The 22,169-nt window shown below is 38.8% G+C and overlaps 1 protein-coding gene and 1 long non-coding RNA gene across 6 annotated transcripts in view; one reads left to right on the forward strand and one right to left on the reverse strand.

The window, feature by feature from the left end:
* The window catches only part of LOC124900946 (uncharacterized), a 35,367-nt gene extending 13,665 nt beyond the window's left edge, over positions 1–21,702 (reverse strand). The window contains exon 1 of the long non-coding RNA XR_007058706.1: positions 16–21,702. This is a non-coding gene — a long non-coding RNA (uncharacterized LOC124900946). The remainder of the gene's footprint in view (positions 1–15) is intronic.
* FBXL7 (F-box and leucine rich repeat protein 7) overlaps positions 1–22,169 on the forward strand; it is a 439,614-nt gene that overhangs the window by 247,915 nt on the left and 169,530 nt on the right. The gene's annotated exons all lie outside the window — the stretch shown is intronic.

Below are 22,169 nucleotides of genomic sequence, written 5' to 3' on the forward strand. Positions count from 1 at the left end.
CTCCCCAGGGAACACCTGGAAAAGTCTAGAGGAATTCTGATATAACTGGGAGGGGGTGAGGTACTACTGGCATCTTGTGGGTAGAGAGTAGGGATGCTGTTTAACATCCTGCAATGCACAGGACAGGCCCTGACAACAAACAGTTATCTGGCCCCAGATGCCAAAAGTGCCAGAGTTAAAGAACTTTGCCTTGTACTTCATTATTGTGTCCTCCATGCTAATGTTTCTCACCACTTAAATATTGTAGATGTTTTCAGGTTGATTGTGTCCCCACCCACATCTCACCTTGAATTATAATAATCACCACGTGTCAAGGGTGGGGCCAGGTGGAGATAATTGAATCATAGGGGTTTCCCCCATACTGTTCTCCTGGTAGTGAATAAGTCTTACAAGATCTGATGGTTTTGTAAATGGGAGTTCCCCTACATAAGCCCTCTCTTGCCTGACACCATGTGTTTGCTTCTCTTTTGCCTTCTGTCATGATTGTGAGGCCTCCCCAGCCATGTGGAACTATGAGTCCCTTAAACCTCTTTCCTTTATAAATTACCCAGTCTCGAATATGTCTTTATTAGCAGCATGAGAACAGACTAATACAAGGGCTAATTTTTTTTGTTTGTTTGTTTCTTTTGATAGGGTCTCGCTCTGTCATCCAGGCTAGAGTGCAGTGATGCAATCATAGCTCACTGCAGGCTCAAACTTGGGGACTCAAGTGATATTCCCACTTTAGCCTCCCAAGTAGCTGGGACTATAAGCATGTACCACTATACTTGGCTAATTTTTTTCTCAAACTCCTGGCCTCAAGTGATTGTCCTTCCTTGGCCTCCTAAAGTGTTGCCATGGCTAACATGTCTTTAAGATTTCAACAGTTAGCCTCGCACGGTGGCTTATGCCTGTAATCCCAGCACTTTAGGAGGCTGAGTGGGGCAGATTACCTGAGGTCAGGAGTTAGAGACCAGCCTGGCCAACATGCTGAAACCCTGTCTCTACTAAAAATATAAAAATTAGCCGGGCATGGTGGCACATGCCTGTAGTCCCAGCTACTTGGGAGGCTGAGGCAGGAGAATTGCTTGAGCCCAGGAGACAGAGGTTGCAGTGAGCAGAGATCATGCCACTGCACTCCAGCCTGGCCAACAGAGTGAGACTCTGTCTCAAAAAAAAAAAAAAAAAAAAAAAATTCAAGAGTCCAAATTCAACTTGTGAGTTACACTTAGAAGGATTTATTGACAAACTTGTTATAAGTGTGTATCCTCGGCTGGGTGCGGTGGCTCACGCCTGTAATCCCAGCACTTTGTGAAGCCAAGGCGGGCGAATCACGAGGTCAGGAGATCGAGACAATTCTGGCTAACACGGTGAAACCCCATCTCTGTTAAAAAATACAAAAAATTAGCCAGGCGTGGTTGCGGGCGCCCGTAGTCCCAGCTACTCGGGAGGCTGAGGCAGGAGAATGGCGTGAACCCAGGAGGCGGAGCTTGCAGTGAGCCGAGATTGCGCCACTGCACTCCAGCCTGGGGGACAGAGCGAGACTCCGTCTCAAAAAAAAAAGAAAGTGTGTATCCTCAGTCACTGCACAGCAGTGTTGATGCAGGAAGACATCAGTAATGAAAATAGCTGATGGGATGTCTGAATTGTAGAATCGTTTCCATGTAATGCATTGGATTATATCTGAGTGCCCTGTGGCTTGACTTACCCAGCTCACCAAAATACCCTCCTGGGGAAACTTGCCTTGACAGAGCCCAGAGCCCTGGGCCTTGAAGAGCCCAGGAGACTCTGCCTACAAAAAAAATCTTCCTCATTAGGCAGATGACACCTTTTTCTGAGCTGTATACTTGCAGGTAAGGGACAAGTTTTGGTGGGGACACTGGCTGGATTCCAGCCTTACACTGCCCTCTGGGCCAGGCATTTTTGTTTGAGGCACAACCTGCACAGACTTATGCTTCAGCCTGGCTTGAGTAATATCTTTGAGATGAGGATTCTGTTTCGTTTTTATTTACTGAAGAAACATAAGAGCCTTCTTTGTGTCTATTTTAGGTGCTTGAGTATACCAAGGAATAAAATAAGTAAAGATCCCTTCCCTCAAAGAATTTATATAGTGATGCTTATAATCTAGTGGAGCTTGCATTTTTAAAGTTGATGATGTAAAGCTAATAATAACTATACACTGTAAGTGAAAACTAATAAATTACTCAACATTTCTTCCTTAGGTGCAGATAGTAGTGACCTGGTTTAAATAGTACCAGTGCCTTGGACTAGGCTTTCTTCCTCTTGCAGAATGCTCCAGCTGACCTCACAATGGGGAGGAGGACATGTGCCTTCTTGTACTACTTGCTATCACACTATCCTCTGACCTTGAGTCTTTGCTAGTAGCTTGGTTTAGTGTAAAGGGAAGCATGTTACCCCCTATAGGACTAGCACTTCCTGCAGCCCCACCTGCAGTTTCTATCAAGTCTCTGATTGAACATTTAATCTAAAAGCTCCATTCTGAATTTATGAGCTGTTTCCTGCTTCTTTTTGTTTTATTTTGCTTTTCTTGCCTTTGGGCACCTGAAGCCTATGTCTTGGGCCATGTCAGTCAAAAGGTTGCTTGTGCATTTTTTTTTCCTGTTTTGGGGGTTTTGGATCACTATTGCCCTAACGTCATGAGCGGCTGCCTTACTCCAGTTTCTATATACCACCATCACTATCCCTAACCACAGTTCTGGAGCAAAGCATACAAGAGCACAGAAAACCAAAAATAAAGTTTCTAAAACAGATAGCAGTGAGAAGCTCATGTAGGTGGACTGCAGATCTGAAGTTCACTGGCAGAAGTGGGACTGACACTTGGTCTACCTTTGACATCTGGAAAGACACAATGCACAAACCTACATGACATAAATTATTGAATCCAGTCATTCCTATTCTAGGACTGTGACAGCTTTATACCTGTTCCATTGAAAAAGAATGATGATTTTTTTTTTCAAAAAGACATAATGCATCAAACACATTTCTGTTTCCGTGTTGTGGTTCCAAGGTGCTATGATTTCTGACCATTGTGTGCTTTCAGAGATATTTCCATGATGTTCAGTGAAGCTAGACTTCTGTATAATTGGGCTATCATAATTGTTACACTATTGAACACTTGCCTTTTGTTCCCATAAGGCTCTAGCCCAGTGGTAAAAATTTTTCTTTTCACTTTTTCTTTGATCAGTGGTCAGATGGTAACTGGAATTTGGGTTGCATGAAATGGACCATTAGGGGACTGAAGGATATGACGTGGTGGATAATGTTTGAAAGGAAGGATTCTGTAAACATGGAGGTTTAGATGAGAACTTAGCTGCTTTGAAGACCAGGCCAGATTTCAGGCTGCTCAAGGGAGTCATTTATAGACTTACATCTACAAATGGTTTTGATTCAGAAAACCCTTGGCTATGTTTGTTTGAAATCTAAGGATTTTGATATCTTCTCGCTGAGTTTTGACTCATTTATAAGAATAGTGAATATTAGAGACCATACAACTTACACACAAATAGAAGGGAATCACATTCTTTTCCTGTCATTTTGGAGAGGGAACCTTACCATAGTCAAAGCAGGTGAAACTTATGATTCATTGTCGATTTTTAATAATATATGTCAAAGGGAGGGGTGCAAGGGGCAAGATCTGAAACAACGGCTCACCTTAAAAATGCATTTGCGTTTGGTGTTTGGAGGATTTGCTCTCATTACTTTTGTAGCAGATTAACATTTGAAGTCATGTTTGTTTTTCTCAGACTAGTATTAAACTGGGTGCATAATAATTACCCAGCAGCAGGAATCTGGTAACAGATTAAGAATGGAGAATCCATAGAGTCAGTATGAATAAGGGAGACCCAATGTCTCTCTGGAAATACCACAGAATGAAGTAATAGAAAAATCATTTTACCTCACTAAGGAATTATAAGTTTCATGGCTCCTTTTGCAAAAGTTTGAAGACCTTGAGTTTATTTCATGTCGATCTTCAGAATTTTAATTTCTAGTGCACTGAATTTACACATTGCTTCACATGGAAGTGTATGTACTGGTGAAAACACAAAATAGAATGTTTAATAAAATTGCAGGGGGCTAGGAGGGATAACATTAGGAGAAATAACTAATGTAGGTGACATATACCTACGTAACAAAACTGCACGTTCTGCACATGTAACCCGGAACTTAAAGTATAATAATAAAAATAAAATAAAATTGCAGGGAAGGGGTTAGAGGCTTTTGAATTCAAATCTTGGGGGAAAAATGGAAGGAGACATATGCTTAAGATGATCTCTATTTTCAGTGGACAGAGCTAAGTTGGTGAGAAAGGCTGGGGGCCTGTGCTTTGTCAGGTAGTTTTCATGGGGAGAAAATGTTGGGTAAAAGAAACCCAGATTGAGAAATAGTCAACAGACCTCAGTTTCTCAGTGCATTTTATTTTATTTTATTTTTATCCCAAGCCATTGGATTTCTCTGACCCACCAGGACCAAGACAAGTAACAGGAGGTGAGAATATAGGATTTCAAAAGCATTAAGAGTTGTAATTTTTTTTGAAGTCCAGAAACAATATGCATCTTGATATGCAATAAAGGACTTTGCAGACTTCTCATTGAATCAGCAGTGCTTTGTTTACTGTACTTTTTTATTACTTCATTTTAGTAAATGTATGAATATTTATATAGACTTGTATAAATTCACCCCTAACCTCAGTTCCTCAAGGCTTCTTTTACAGTCACATCTTAAATTCGTCAACCACAAGTTATCCTTCTAGAAGGTTCTTGGCGAACTGTAAACTACTTCAGGGACCACTGTACTTTCACTATCATTGTTCGTTTTTATTTCAGTGGTGTGTCCAGGGATTTGTCCTTAGTTTAATCAATCTTTGTTTTCAGCAAAATGTTGACGTTAGGGCAAAGTTGTTTTTGTGGCTGTTGTGATAAGACCTTGAACATTTTCGCCGCTGCAATTCAAGAAGCACTTGGCTACTCTGTGGCAGGCAGACTCTGAGGATTATAACTCCTCTTGCAGGGAGGGCTGGAACCTCCCTAGGGAGCAGGCGGGGGCTGGACAGTCTGCCAGACACACGCTCTCTAGGACACACTCTCTCTTTTTTTCCCCGTATAGTGCTTGTGACTGATGAATTCAATGAGCGCTTCAATTCTCCTACTTTGTTCTTTCAGCAGACCATTTGTGTCTTTGAGAGCTTATTTTGGCAAATGAATAATCAGCTATCCAAATTGGCTCAAGGACGATCAAGGGGAATATTTGACCTCTACTTTAGATGATCTACATTTTTAATGTTAGTATTTGTGACTTAGCAGAGCGGTTGATCATAACTGGCCTTCTTTCTTCCTCATCTGTGAGCATACATCAAAGGCTCCAAAATATGCACACAAGACAAGTTTAAAAGCCCTCATCATTGTGAAAATTTCTTGTGATTTTTATTTTAATTGGGAGAGAAGGAGGTGTGGACAGGAGATGCTCATGGCTATTTTTTCTACAGATCAAATCCATAGATCTACATTGTATTGTTTTTCTCCTTTCAGAACTTTAGTATAAATTCATTACTTGTCTTATTATTGAAAAATATTATTCAGACATAGTGAGGTACTTTGATGTAGTTCTAGTGGCTATATTTGTTGTTTCTTAGAAGACTTAGCTGTCTGCAGGGGAAGTAAAAATAATGGAATTAAGCAGTGGGATCATCCCCCTTCAAAAGTCTTACATTTATTAGCATATATTTATTTTTTTAAGACAGAAGTCCACAAACTATGGCATAATAAACAATAATGCTATTCTGGAACATGGAAAGTCCTGGACTGGTCATCAGATATAGGCTCTAGCCTTGACTTCACCAGCAACTGGGCGTGGGGCCATAGATAACTCATTTAACTTTCATGACTCTCAGCATTCTCATCTACAAAAAGTGTTGGATTAATTCAATCAGTGGTTCTCAAATTTGAATGTGCAACAGAATCACTGGACCTCATTACCATATTCAGTAAAGCTTGGGTGGAAATCTGCAAATTTGCCTGTCTAACATGGTCCCAGGTGATAATGATGCTGGTGTGGGGAGCACACTTTGAGAATCACTGGATTGGATGATTTCTCTGACTACTTCTGGTATTAACATTGGGTGACTTTTATGCTCTGTGGCTAGAATGATCTGCTTAGAGCTTCAGAATGCATTGGCTGTGATGGGTCCAATGGGCAAGTGCTACGAGTAGAACTGAATAAGAGCAGAAATTTGAATCAATAGAGTCATATGGTTTTAGGATGGCCCAAATATTAGCAGTATCTCTGAGTGGTCAAACCCCCCAACCAAGAGTTGGTGTATTGGAGTCCAGCAGCAGGGGCATCACATGGTGGTGGCTAGAGCAAGCTGAGCATTTGGTTGGACTGATGAGATCAGTGTAAATGATGTGACACATTTCAACAGGCTTATGTACATATTGGATACGGGAAAAAGAAGATTTTGATTGATTTCACAAGTTAGACACCGGGCAACCAATAAATGCCACTTGCATTGCTACCATTAATGTAGCTTTTTATACCAATGAGAAAACTGTACTATTCTAAAAGTAAAATGAAATTAAATAGGCTCTAGTTGTATCTGTATCTCTACTGTCCTTCGGGAATAGTGAAGTAACTATACAAGCACAAGCACGTACATTATTAACTAAGAACAGTGGTGGCATTTTTCTTTGTTGTCTAGACTCTACTAGGCTCTTCTAGTGATTCTGGAAATCATTAAATCCTTGTTTTTTTCAAACCTCACCCACAAGGTTTTCAAGTACATTTCAGTTCCTGCTCAACACAGGACAACACTTGCTCACTACAATGACCAAAGTACCTGACTTCTAGATGCAGGCTTGGAAGTGAGAGAGACTGATTGGAACTATTTTTAGTTGTGATGTTTTTCTTGAATGCTCTCTGATGGGAAAATAAAGGGGAATGGCTTGAGTTTATTTCTTCATATTTAGGAAATCCCTTCTGCCTCTGTTGTTCAACTTCCAAATTATTGAAACACTTTCCAAAACCTCATGCCCCTCAAATTTGTATACTAGACCATTGCCTGAAAACAAGTTTGTAAATATATACCCTGTAAGCCTTGAAAAAGGCTCAGCTCAGGAGAAATTAAATTGTATTTTGTATTTTAGTGGATAATATGGTACTGTGGGCATTAACAAAAATATGTAATTAGGGAGAATCAATATATTCCATCCAAGAACTTCTCTTATCAAAAGAGAGGGTAGAAGAATTGAAAACATGAATGAATAGGCATGAAAGATGGATTTCCAAAGACCAGCTAGCTTTGCTCTGTGTGTGTGCGTGTGTGTATATGTGTGTGATTTTCTCTCTCTCTCTTTCTCTCTGTGTCTCCCATATACAGATATAAATTGTGTTGTCCCATCTATCTAATGAGTAGGTTAGATTAGATCAGTAGTTCTTTAAAAAGGCAGTTTCTGCACACCAACAATTATATCGCAGTCTGCAAATAGCTATATTTTGCTTGGGCAACAAAGCCGAGGAAGCCTCAGTTTGTAATTTAACCGAAAACAGTTTTCAAAAAGCACATCCAGTAGAAATATCCTTGGCTTCTTACCTTCTTTCTCCATCAAGGTGAACACTTTTCATTACACCTAGAAATAGCCAAACAGCCAGTAAAAAATCACTGGCCAGTACAAATTCTTAGGCAATAGGAACTAACCAGATGTTTTATCAGCCAATCAGAATGCTGTAAAATAACCTGAGAAAGGCTGGCACTGAAGACGTTTGTGGCAATCCAGTGCCTAGCACAGAAGATACTTGTGTGTATTGCATCAACTGCTCCCAGTTCTCCATAGCAGTGGAGGAGAAGTCAGAGAGAGAAGAGAGAGACCAGCTTCTAGACTTCCCTACTGCCCTACTGGCTGGTTGCATTAAAAGCATCTGTTTAATGAGAGTTTGCCAAGTTTACTTATTACTAAATAACATGTAAATTGGTATTTGCAGCTGTACTAAGAATTTTCACAGTTCTAGGATTAGCCTGAAAGCAGTTCAATCTAGTTACTGATTTATGTGTTTCTGAAATCTAAAAAATTTTCCCAAGACCCTGCTCAGACTTTTTTTTCACTAAGTCTAGATGGTGTTTTCAAATATTTTACATAAATATATTTCACTGTAAAAATGTAAACTTTATACATGATATTTAACAATTCCTTATATTAAGAGGAAGCAAAAAAGCAGCTAAGAAAAATGTTTTTACTCTCCATATTTCTTTCTACCTTCATGTAAATGGGAATACTTTAGTTTTATGATAACAGACCGGTTTTAAAAATCTTACTTACCTCATCCTTATAAGCATTTCAGTGTTAGCTGAAAGTAAATTACTCTCTTTCCTTTCTCCATTTTCATAATCTATTGCCGCCATTTGGAAATATCTGTTCTCATTAGTAACTATGGCACTTGCAGCCTAAATGGTCATGAAGTCACTATCCGGACCATTTTTAGGATGTCCCTGTTGGATGCAAGTAGTTTAAAGCCATATGATTCGTTTTTATTAGCTGTGCTGTTCTTAACCAGGGATAATAAAGGCTTTGCAAGTCAAGTCTGCATGGCAAAAAAGGTGTCCACAAGTGTGAATGGCTCATTTTTAATGACTAGCCAACAGCCACTTGTAAAAGATGTAATTGAAATTGTTCAGAGATTAGGTTCCGTCTGCTTTGTCCTCCTTCTCAAAAGTTTTCATGGATCCAAGCTATTCTTAAGCATTGTTTAATACTAGAAATAGCCTTTATGGACTAATAATAAGAAAGAAAAAGGCAAATTTTAAAAGATATTCCAAATTCAAAGAAAATAAGTTTGGCAGCCTGACTTTTGATTATCTGTAAAAATCAGGGCCAATAGTTTGAACGGAAGAGTAAATATGAAGGTTTTCTAAACAGTTTTTTCTGGAAGAGAGGGTTGGAGGTGAGAAGTTCTCCTTTATTCAGCAGCAGTGCCTACAAAAAACATAAATGGTGTTTCTGTGAACCTCAAAAAGTAAATCAGTGAGTGGATGTAGGAATTGGGGTAAATGAGCAATAGCTGCCTTGTCATTTCAAGTTCTGTGTCTTACTCCTATTTCACAATCCTTTCATAGGAGAGAGAGAGAGAGTTTTCTTTAAAGGCAAGGTTTGTGGGTAAGAAAAATTATTGAAATAATGTAGGAATAACTCAAAACCAGAGAAGCCTTTGACTCAGTTCAAAGAGGCTATTAGGAGGAAATTGACTAAAGCTGTACAGACTCTAAGACCTGGGCACTTACATTCCTTTGCATTTCTTGAAGAATGCTTTGAATTCTTGTTCTACTCCTAGGAGGCTCTCGAACTTCAGATACTAATCTCAAAGAGAGTTATGGAGTCCAGAAGACATCAATTCCCTGTGACAAACAGAAAACTAATTTACATTCCTGCTGAAACTCTGTAGATTTTATTTTCTCAGGAAAAAAAAAAAAAAAGATTTGTTTCCAGGTGCTTTCAAGTTGTTGTGATAGAGCTAGAGGTGATGCACAGAAGAATCTCAGATTTTCTCTGCCTTCCAGCTCTGTCATCCAGTAGCTGCAGGATGGCTGTGAAATACTGAACTGCTGTTCTGTCATTTGTAAACTGAAAATGACTAGAATTTCCATGACCGTTCTTTTGAGGATAGAAGTTGGTTACATATGTGGAAACGTTTTGTGCACTTAAGGTACTCCAGAAATCTCAAAGGGCTGAAGGATGCAGCTAAGTGGGAAGGAGGCATAATTCATGCCAACGTCAAGCAGGCTCAGTCAGCCTCTCTGTATGGCATATCCCTTTCCTCCCCACAGCTAGATGATTCCTATTTTCGTTTACAGATGAGCCCAAATGGTTCCCTTCTCTTCCTCTGTTCTCCTGTTACATTCTCTTTGTCTTGGCACGCGTTCACGGTGAAATTACGATAAAGATGAGGGAGATAACAGGTAGCACCATGGAATCAAACAGCCAAGTAGAGTTGGCAGGCAGAAAACATGATGACCACCAAGTCCAGGGTGTCCCATTTTTCCAAAGACTGGGGCCTCTTTCTTTACCATCAGAATATTTTTAAAATCGCCTCATATCTTACTAAAAAAGAAATAAGTATCAAATGCTTAAAATACTCAAATTTCTAAAAATCAGAGAGAAAAAGTACTTTAAGGAGATATGATTTAATCTTTATATAGTCTTAAGGCGAGAAAGGACTTTATAAACAAGGGCATTTTTTTTTTTTTAATTTTAGAATCAGCAGGTACATGTGCAGGTTTGGTATATGGGTATATTGCCTGATGCTGAAATTTGGGCTTCTAATGACCCTGTGACTCAAGTAGTGACCATAATACCAGGTAGGAACATTTTTATCCAGCCCAAAGTGTCAATAGTATTGAGATCAAAATACCCTGTTGTAAATGAATGTTTTCTAAAGTGCCAAATATACAAAAACAAAGGGCCGGATAGATATATTATGGTTCTTATACCTAATGGACCATTTTGCAACAATTAACATGTTAAAGAAATGCATCTATTTATATAGAAAGCTTTTCACAGCATATTTGTTTTAAAAAGCCACTTACAAAGCTTGTGATTTCATTTTTGTTTAACACGGACTTAATAAAATGTACCCACAGCAAGGTGTTTAAGGGATTGTCTCTGTCTTGTTGTGTGTGATTGTAGGTATTATTTTTATTTACTTTCATTGTGCAATTAACTCGAATTGCTTCTCTATTAAGAAAAATAATAATAAAACTAATTATGGTAAGTTTTTGAAAAGTCATGCTATGGATTTACACTTTAGAGTAGTTATAATTTTAGTGTCCATTGATTTAGAAAACACATGACAAGCAGCTATTATTATTTTATTAAATCTTTAAAATACATGTCTTTAGAATAGCAACTACACACATTTGAAATATGCTAGCATATGTATCTGCCAAGAGGTTATTATACTTTCTTGGATTTGTTAAAATAATCGTGGCCACACATAAGCCTGAGGCACATACTATAAGCCATTGATTAACCAGTAAGGTGTCTGCAAACATGAGGCTATATTTTATTTAGTAGCAGTTCATTCCTTCGGCTTTTCCTACTCTTGAAATTGCAATAAGATTGTGTCAGAATGCTGTGTTAATATAATTCTATCAATGGCAAGCCACATTTTTAAAGACTCTTTAAATGAAAAAGTGTAAATAGTATGGAATCCACAATTAACATGGAATCCAGTCCTATTAAATAATTTCATTTAAACTTTCCTCACTTTTTTTTAATCACAACTGAACTGTAAACTTGAAAGAGGATTATGATAATGAAATCATTTTTCCTCTTTTTTAGATGTAATTTTCCCAGAATTCCCATTGACTGCCTTTGAAATAACTTAGTCCATGATGTTGACAAAGCTTTTAAATTTGAAGAAACATCCTTACTTGTACATAGTAACAAAACAATCACTCACTGAAATTATGCTTTGTAAAATATATATTTTTAAATTTCCGGACTCGGTCGTGTATATTCAGGAAATGTAAATTATCTATTAAGACCCACAATCATTTGTGAGATGTTTATATTGTTCTCTGATAGGTATAGATGACATTAATTTCAATAGATGTTCATTCATGCATTCATTCATTTATTTTTTGTTCAGAAAATGTTTATCACTGTGTACTGGACACTGAGAAAATGACAGTGAACAAAATAGACAAAGTCTCTGCCCCCATGGAGATTAAATTCCATTGCATGCTGGTGTCTGGTCATAGGATCTGAATGTCTAGTTAGAAAGGAGGCAGATATGACCAGAATTATTTCAGAACGATATAGTACCTCCTACACCTTTCACCTGGAAAATTAAATATAAGTAAAACAAAGTATTTAACATTTTACTAGGTGGAATCAATGAATGAACCAATGACTGCCATAGAACCATTCCATTTCAAAGCCAGAAGGCACCTTTGAGAATTATTTCATTTTTTTTTTCAATTATTTGCTTTAATCCTTGTTTTTTTGTTAGAATGAAAAAATGAATGTCCAGAAAGTCACAAAGCAGGTTTGAGGCATTGCTGGGAGAAGCCTCCAGCCCCCTATTGGGGTAAGAGTCAGCTGTTCTCTCTAAATTGTCTGGAGAGTTTTATACCCATTGTGCACACCTACAAAGCATGCACAAACCATAGCTGATCATTCTGCAGTTATTCATGTCATAGGAAAATGATTAGCTGTGGTATACCCTTATATGAGGTAGTGAAAATATATTTTACCTTATAATATATTGATTATATATTCACTTCAGGCACTCATCTACCATATATAACACAAAGTTCACTTGAATTATTTGCATTTTGGAAAAGCAAAAAAAAAAAAAAGAAAAAAGTTGAGAGAGTCCTAGATGAAAGTATTCAGGTCCGTCATGCTTCAGCTGTATACCTGCTGAGGTTTTTCACAGGCTCATCATTGCCTAACACATTGAGCTTTACCTAGGAAATAAACTCTTTTTGACTTCTTGTTTGGATTTCAAATAATAAAGGTGAGATGTGAAAACTAAGGGATGAAGCCTTCTGGACCCAGGAACATCTTTGCAGTACAAAGATGCCATCCCCTGGAGTCATGGGTTAAGTCTGGAAGGTAGAGAGCAAAGCATTATCCAGGAGTTCACTGCAAAAATTGTCTCTGTTGAGATAAACTGGTGGAGGGAATAGGATGGCAGAAGTAGTAGTAATGAGGACAAACTTAACTCTTAAGTCATTGATTATTTGGATCAATAAGTATATTGAACAAAATAATTAACTCCCACTTAGCAAAATGTCAAATGGGAAATATTGCAGAAACCTGTAATAGGCTAACAACAATTAAAGAATGAGACAGAAAAAAAAAAAGCAGTCCCATATTTCAGAGTGATCATTGGAAGTTAGACAATTACACGAATATTGCATGAATGGGAAAATGAAAGAGTAAGAAATGGGGCAGCCATGACAGTCATTTATTTTTCTTCTGGACAACCACCTTTTTATCCTGTTGTCTTGGGCAGGTACAACATATGTGCCTGTGGACAGAGGAGTGTTTAAAAGGTAGCATTGAGTTGACATGAGAGGCAGTCTGTTCTTTCCATTTCCTTTCCACTGCTTCAGCATTGCTTACTAAGTAATCTACCGCATTAATTTTTTGAGTAGGTAATTTCCTTTTTCCTCTCTTTAAAAATAATTGTTTATGGCTGTCTTGGTGCCAAAAATATCATAATCCCGTGTTCAGGAAGGAGATTGCCATGAACAGGGACTCTGGACTCCCAAAGATGTTCTCCTGCCCTGTGTCTGGGCTTCCCAATTCTTTACAACCTTGAACTTGGAGAAGGTAGGAAACAAAAGATTTATTAGTTTCAGCCCATTGAATCTCTTCACTTCCAGAACTACACCTTTATTTATTTGCCTTTTTTCCTAAAAATATTTAAAAGTCAATCCTAGTTGTAAATTATTATTTATTTATTTTTTTGAAACAGGGTCTCACTCCGGTTGTCCAGGTTAGAGTGCTATAGCACGATCTCTGCTCACTGCAGCCTCCATCTCCTGGGCTCAGGTGATTCTCCCACCTCAGCCTCCCAAGTAGCTGGGACTGTAGGTGTACTCCACCACACCCAGCTAAGTTTTTGTATTTTTAGTAGAGATGGGATTTTGCTATTTTGCCCAGGCTGGGTCTCAAACTCCTGGACTCGAGTGATCTGCCCACTTTGGCCTCTCAAAGTGGCAGGTGTGAGCCACCATGTCAGGCTGAAAATTGTTTTAAAAGATGTTTGAATTGCTTTTTTGAATAAAAGTGCTTCATCTTCTTTTGAAATTGTGGGTTCTCAATACTAAAGTGTCACTATATCAAGTTATCAATTGCTGTGTAACAAATAACCCCAAAAAACTTAGCAGCATCATGCAACACACGTTCATTATCTCACAGTTTCTGTGGGTCAGGAATCCAGGTAAGACTGAGTTGGGTCCTCAGCTTCAGGGTCTTAAGGTGTAGACTGGGCTGTGGACACCCAGCGTTTGACTGGGAGGGGATCTGCTTCTAAACTCACATAGCTGATAGCAGGATTCAGTTTTTCACAGGTTGTGAGGATGAAAGCTGAAGTTCTTCTCTGTTGGCCAGAGACCATCCTCAGTTCCTTGTCATGGGACCTCTCCAACATGGCAGCTTGCTTCGTCAAAGACAGAAAGACAGAGTGTCTGCTAGCAAGACGGAAGTTATAGCCTTTTATAACCTAACCACAGAAGTAACACCTCTTCACCTTTGCCAGATTCTGTTGGTTAGAAGCACCCTTGTAGGGTGGGGGAATGCCTGGGAGCAGGATGAAGGGATCACTAAGATCCATGTTGGAAATCCACATAGCACAGCCATTTTCTTAATGAGCAGTTCCAGTCTAGGTTTTTAATTTACTCAGAGTAGATTTAAAGTTCTGTATTCATATCCCAGCTGGGCTACTTAATATTATTAGCTCTGTGACCTCGGGTGTATTATTTAACCTCCCCTAAGCCTCACTTTCTTCATTTGTAAACATAAATCTGTAAAAAGAGGATAAAAGCAATGCTCTCTCTTAGAGTTGTTTTGAAAGTTAATTAAATTCTTGCAAAACAGCGTACTGCTGAGAGAATGAAATATTTTCAATTGTCTAAGTTTTTCAGAATGCTGAAAGGCTTATAAACTTGTTTATAAGTAATTTTTAATTTAACATTTTGGTTGAAACATATCTGAAATGCATTACGTAGTGTCTTCCTAAACAGTTTATGCTAATTGAATTGAGCCTTGATAATTTATGACCCTCGTGTAAAATCTAATTATTGCTTTATGCTGATATACAGTGATGTACAGTGGCTTTTGAGATGTTTGAAGTTTTTTCCCTTCTTAAATGGCCCCAAATTGCTCTGACTTTTGAGTCCTTGTTTTTAATTTGTTTTTTCTCTCTTGCTCTAACACTGCTATCAAGTACATTTCATTTTTATCACTGGGCTACATCTAGCGACCCTTCCATCTCCCAAAATTTTGGTTTCTAATTTCTTGTGGACTTAAAATGGAGAGGCAATATGTATAGTGCTTAAGAGCATAAGATAATCCTAGGTGTAAATCCCAGCCCTTCGCACTTGCCACCTGTGGATACTACTCAACTAAGTGCTTAACTAAAAGCATGTAATCCCCCTGTGCCTTAGTGTATATCATCTATGAAATAGGATGCTGTTTTTATTTACAGTAAGTTAGATCCTGCTTATATGATGTGTAATATATGGTAGACGTGATAAAGTCAGCTATTGTTACTTAACAATTTACATAAATAAGTGTGTTAGAATTTTTGAAACGTAAGAAGATACAGGCTGCAAATTTGGCTCTCTTTTTGGACCAAAGTACGTTGGCATCTGTAAAATTTTTGGCGAGTTCCAGGTTATTGGTCTTTTGTTGAGAGACTACATCGAATATAATTTGTGGTAAGTCCCATAGGAATTCCTTTGATGAAAGGAAATCCATAATAGCAATCTCATAATATTACATAGGTTACATAGAATGATTTTCTTTCTCTACATCAGAGCATTATTTTTTATCTTGGTTTTATAGGTTTCTATTCTGAGGAAGGTATTTGAACTCACTTTTGAGTTGAAAACAAAATGCGTGATGTTCAATTTGATCCTCATTAATAACAATTATAAACTGTTTTGGGCAGAGTTATCCAGAGAGAAAGAACCAATAAAAAACATACAGATAGAGCTATATGAGAAGGGATTTATTATGGGAATAGGCTCCTGCAATTATGGTGGCTAGTCCCACAATATGCTATCTGCAAGCTGCAGAGCCAGGAGCACTGGTGATGTAATTTAGTCTGAGTCAAAGGCCTGAGAACCAGGGGAGCAGATGGCATAACTTTTAGCCTAAGGCTGAATGGAGGCCTGAGAACTTAGAGGACTGCTGGTGTAAGCCCCAGAGCCTGAAGGCTCTACAGTTTGGAGTTCTAAGTCTCACAGACAGTTTGAGTCTCACAGACAGACTCAAAAAAGCTTTACTATTTATCTGGGTATCTCCTAGTCCAGTTAAGTTGACATCTAAAATTCCCTATCACATAAACCAAAGATTGAGTATCAATATGTTGTTGGAAAGTGTTTCATAAAATGGAGACTGACCTCATATTTCTGGTTCCATAGATCAGAAGCAGGACAACGTGATGTGAATGGAGAACATTTCCTGTATTTTGACCACAAGATACTATTACTATTTGAATACATATCAATTAGATTAAATGAAAATGCAAGTATAGAGAGATGTGTTTTCTCATCATTTTCTCAAACTGAGATGAGTGTCACCTTTTGGCTAAGAGATAAGCATTGTAGAAGTGAACATTATAAGCAGACAGGTGTAAAGAAGTAAGAAGGGAAAAGGAAATGAGGAAAAGTACAGAGGCCTCTAGGATCCATAAAGGTTAGCGTGTGTGCCCGTGATGAGGAGGGATAGGAGTTAGTACCTCAGAAACTCCGAGGGGGGCTTAAGAACAGGAGCATCAGCCATGAGGCCAGACCAGTTAGTTTCAAATCCCAGCTTTTTCACTTATTAAATGCATGGGCTTGGACAAGTAATTGGCCATCCCTGCATTTTAGTTTCCTCATCTGTGATGAAGGCCACTATAGTGTTCACCCCACAGGGTATTGGGAGCACTGAAATACAAACTGGGAAAATTACTCTTAGTTAGCAGAATGCTGGGCATATTGTAAATTATCTGTGTATTTTGCTGCCTTACCATAATCTAGAGCAGAAGTTTACAAGCTTTTCCTCTAAAGGGCCAGATTGTAAATATTTTAGTCTTTGGAAGCCAAGAGGCAAATTGCAAATATTATGTATCTCCTTACATAATAAGAGATAAGACAAATTTCTACAAATTTTTTATTGGTGAAATTCAACATATAATAATGTAATTAAATAAAATTATTGTATTATAGATCCAGTAATGAGAAGAATGGAATTCTTTTGAGGAGTAGATGACATTTCCCTTAAATGGGATTCAAAGTTACTGTTCTCTAACACCAATTTTTCAAAAAATGTTCATCTGTAAAAACCCTTCTTGGTGCACAGGTGAGCTATATACGAACAGGCAGTGGCAGCCGGATTTGACCTGAGAGCTATGATTTGCTGTCTCCAGAACAGTGGTTCTCAATTTTTCCTTTATGATCTTGGTACTGAGACGTACATGAGTGAACATGGATGACATTCACAAATGTTATGCACTCCCGAGGCCATACCAAGATTTACCCAATCCCCAGCACAGTAGCTGCAACCACACACTTTTGTCTGACAGAAAAGCACATCAAGCAGAGACTTTAGTGTTATAATCAATATAGTAACAAATGCCCAAGATGTGCATCACAACTGAGCATACCTAGCCAGTGTGTTATGACACCAGGTTCTCTGAATATTTCTACTATTCAGAACAAGTCCTCCCATTCACAACCTAAAGTGACAATTCATAGCTGCAAGAAACTTTCTAAAGAAGGAGGTTGTATTGTAGTGCAAGCAAAGGGAGATTCTTTTTTCTCTTTCATGTGCGGGGAATGATAAAATAGAGAGCTGAGCTCTAGGGTAAGTGGCACCATGCTTCCTCCCACCAACAATAATGCCCAGTTGTGTACCAATTGATGGCTCTTTCCTGAGTTCCAGGAGTGTGAATCCATCCATCTGCTGGGAATCTCTGCCTGGATCACCTTCGGGTATCTCAAACTCACACTGTAGTACTGAACTCATCATCAAGCCCCACCCCCAATAGATCTTATATCTGTACCCTGCTCTCCAACCCTACTCTCATTTCCTCATCCAGCCTCTCTCACGTGACCATGCTTACAGTGTACAGCGGCTTCCTGGTTTCAGATAAATCAAGGTTCGTTCCCATAGTCTGTGGGACCTGAACCAACACTCCAGCTTCATCTATATCTGTCTGTCTGTCTGTCTGTCTGTCTATCTACCTACCTACCTACCTACCTACCTACCTAACAGCATCATAGAATTAATTGCCTGGTATTCTCTGCAAACACCATATTGTTTCTTAGCTTCTTCTTTGGTCCTGCTGTCCCCTTTACAGATAATCCTCCCATTCCCCAAATACGGAATGCCTTACATCGGCCTCCTAGCCTTCCATGAAACTTCTTTTCCCTCATCCCAAAGGCAGAGTTTGGGTCTACTCTGTATTTCCAGTATGTCTTAAGCATGAGTTATACCCACTATATTGAATGTAGTAGTGCTTTGGTATCTCTGTCTTCCCACCTGCGCACTGAGAGACTTGAGAACTAGGAGTATGTCTTAATTTTTGTATCCGTAGACAGGGATTCTTATATAAAGAAAGCACCTAGTCAAGGTTTACTGATTTAATTAGCTCTACAGAACTGGCTTACAGCCACTGTGTTTATCTGAGCTTCATCACCACAAGGCAGAGGGAGTGAATATAAGTTAGTAGCCAGGAGCCAGATCTAATATTTAAAAGGCTGCTTTGGAGATTTCATTTCCATTGGCGTGTACAAGTTCATGATTGTTTCGAAATAAAACTTGTTAGGATTTTAAACTTGACTTTCATTATCTCTGGTATATTCTTCTTTAAAACATATTTGCTCTTCCCAAATAGAAAGAGTAATTCATGACTTTCCTATCTACTTATTTTGTCTCAGATTTGATTTTGATTTTTCTCTGTCTTCACGAAACCAACGAAATAATAGGGAGAATAATTGAAGCTTTCTAATCATTAGACTCTAATAAAGAAACTCGATACACTGTAAACCCACCACTACATTCTACCGTGACGAGCAGAACAACCTGAGAAGAATACAGTTTTTTACTCTAAGCAGCCTTGGTTTTCCTTGTCACACCACTAGTAAACAACTCTGTTTTAAAAATCTGTAATTTTCTTTTTTTTTCTGTTTCTTTTTCTTGAACTTTTATTTTAAGTTCCGGGGTACCCGTGCAGGATGTGTAGGTTTGTTTTATAGGCAAACATGTGCCATGGTGATTTGCTGCACATATCAACCCTTCAGCTAGTTATTCAGCCCAGCAGCCATTAGCTATTCTTCCTGATGCTCTCCCTTCTCCTACACTGCCCCCGACAGCCCCCAGTGTGCGTTGTCACGCCCCCATGTGTCCATGCATTCTCATTGTTCAGCTCTCACTTGTAAGTGAGAATATGTGATAAAAAAAAAAAGTCTATAATTTTCATTCAAAAGACTGCCTTAAGCAACTGTGAAACAATTTAACACAATTTTACCTTAAGGTTCATATCCACAGCACATCACAGAATCAAAATTAAGACTGGGCTCATATTTGCTAATCTGGAGATTGTGCCTGTCTGCAGGAGGCATAGTCTTTGCGGTGTGAGGAAGGCTACAGCTCGGTGGAACTGCCTCCCCAAGACCCAGAACCACCATGGGTACTTAGTGTGTACATCTTGATTGTAAATGCCCAGGGCTACTCTAGAGGTAAGGAAAAGTGGAGACAATAAAACCAGCAAACATACATGGAAAGACAAGATGAAACATTTAGAGGTTCATTATAGCAAAAGAAAAATATAAACAATTTCCTGGAGAACTTCTGTTTTTATTCCTTATTTCACGCCTTTGCTAACTAATTTGCTATTATTTTTGACAATCTTTTATTAGTAATATTTATAATAATTAGACTCCAATATCATGAAGCTGGGAAGATAAATATTTGATGACAAAAACAAATGCCCTTGGCAAAGCATACACACAGATTATATTTAAATAAACTTCATGATTGTTCATAAAATGTCTTTAGAACCTAAAACAGGAGGAATGGGTGTGCATTATGGTAAGAAATTTCTTAATAATCACACATTTTTAATACTTTTTGTTATGTTTGCTTCAAGAAAAATTTACTACTTTTGTCATGTAGTAAATTTGTCATGATTTTATCTCTTCAACTTCATAATAATAGTATTTGAAATATATACAATAGATCTCACTGCTTTGGTTAACAAGTCCACAGTTTAGTGTCAGCAGCAGGAATGGTTGTTGTTTGTTTTTACACTGATGTAGAGGGAAATGAATACGTTCAAGTGATGTTGTTTTTTCCCATGTGTTTGGATACCCTACTACTTTACAGGTAGAGTGAATTCTAAAGGCAGGTAGATACCTATCATTTGCCTAAACAGTAACATTGCTGGCTGGGCACGGTGACTCACACCTGTAATCCCAGCACTTTGGGAGGCCGAGGCAGGTGGATCATGAGGTCAGGAGATCGAGACCATCCTGGCTAACACGGTGAAACCCAGTCCCTACTGAAAATACAAAAAATTAGCCTGGCGTGGTGGCAGGCACTTCTTGTCCCAGCTACTCGGGAGGCTGAGACAGGAGAATCGCTTGAATCTGAAAGGTGGAGGTCGCAGTGAGCCGAGATCATGCCACTGCACTCTAGCCTGGGCGACGGAGCGAGACTCTGTCTCAAAAAAAAAAAAGAAAAAAAAGAGTAACACTGCCACTGATATACAAACAGCCTTTCAATAGAAATTTAGTACAGAACCACCAGTGGAAAGAAAAGGTTATTGAAAAGTTTGAGTGGGGGTGAACTGCCTTCTTCTGGGATGGGGCTGGTCATGATAGTACACACAGAGCGTGGTCCACTCATGGTGTGGTGTGTTTCTCCACTAGTGCTGGTCCAGCCAGGGCTCCACTCAGCCCTGCCTCCCTGTGCACAGTGGCCACAGTGCTGTGCAGGCAACAGCTGGGGGATTTGCTATGGACTACACAGTAGAGATGGAGATATACATCAAAGTCTAGAAATGTGGGCATTTTGATTCATTTGACTTCCCTTTCAGGGCACTCAGGGCTCAATTTATCAAAACAACAAACAGTAATTGAGTCAATAAGACATATGCTGTAGGGAAATGTTCCCAGGTATTGATCCAAAATATTGGCATGATATTTACATCTGTTTGCCAAAGTCATACATTGTCCTAATTCCATGAACAGACAGGCAGCAGGGCATAGAGGCACGGAGGCTGCATGGAGATCCCTCACTGCATTGTCCGCTGTCTTCCCACATGGCCTTTGGCACATGGCTCCCCCTGCCACCAGCTGCCTCCTTCTGGGGGAGTGCGAGAAGACTGAAGTTCCAGGAACTGCCCAGTATTCTATTCTGCATTGGAATCCTCTAATAAATAATGCCATATCAATGTAGCTAATTATCATTATTTGAGCATACAACTTGAGTGCATCCATCTGGAACATTCAAAATTGACCCTCTATGGTATGATGAGTGTGTGTGTTGTGGGCAGGAAAATCCTCCATAGGAGAAATCTAGCATTACCCAGGATGAGATGGAGAAATCCTTCACTAATCCATGCGCTACTCATCTGAAGCTTTATTTTCTAGACTTTCTCTTCTGAAGTGTACATTTAGTCCCCATGCAAATGACTGTTAAAGCAAATCAGCAAGAGCAAATCAACAATATAATCCTCCTGGCACCACATGGTAATGTAATTTTTCAATTCAAAATGCACACGCAAAATACTAAAGTAAATGGCTCTGTGGTAACTATATCAAAATAAGAAAAATGTTTCGCTTTAAAAATATGCTATATCTAGACTGGAAGAGGTGAAGCAGATATGACAAATAAATTCAGTAGGATCCTGGATGGGTTTCTGGACACGAAAAAAAAAAACACTGGTGAGCAGTTGGCTAAATTTGAATGAAGATTTGTAGATTTATTAATAATACCATATCAGTGTTATTTTCCCAGTTTTGGGAATCTTACTATCATCATATAATATTTTAACATTTAGGTAAGCAGGCCGAAGGGTATGTGAGACCCGATTGTGCTACCTTTGAAACTTTTTTTGTAAATCTGGAGTTATCTCAAAGTAGAGATAAGAATATTTCATGAATCACAATTTTAATGCCTTATTTATCTTCTGGTAGGTCAGTTTAGAGAATTTTTACAATAGTATTGACTTTTGATTATAATTTAATGATCCATATGGAATCACAGACTATTAAAGCCAGATGGATTTGCTCTGTTGATTGACGGAGGGAGGAAGAAGAAAGCAGTATTTAGCGATTAAGTCACCAGGTGCCAGGCTGCAGCTAACTCTGTTAGTTGTGTCCTGGTGTCCACTTGCCTGTGGTTTCTTGCCATGCAAACCCTGATTTTCCGTAGGGCCCCAGTGTGCCCAGCCTG

The sequence above is a fragment of the Homo sapiens genome, chromosome 5, assembly GCF_000001405.40.
Source record: "Homo sapiens chromosome 5, GRCh38.p14 Primary Assembly".
NCBI classification, from domain to species: domain Eukaryota; kingdom Metazoa; phylum Chordata; class Mammalia; order Primates; family Hominidae; genus Homo; species Homo sapiens.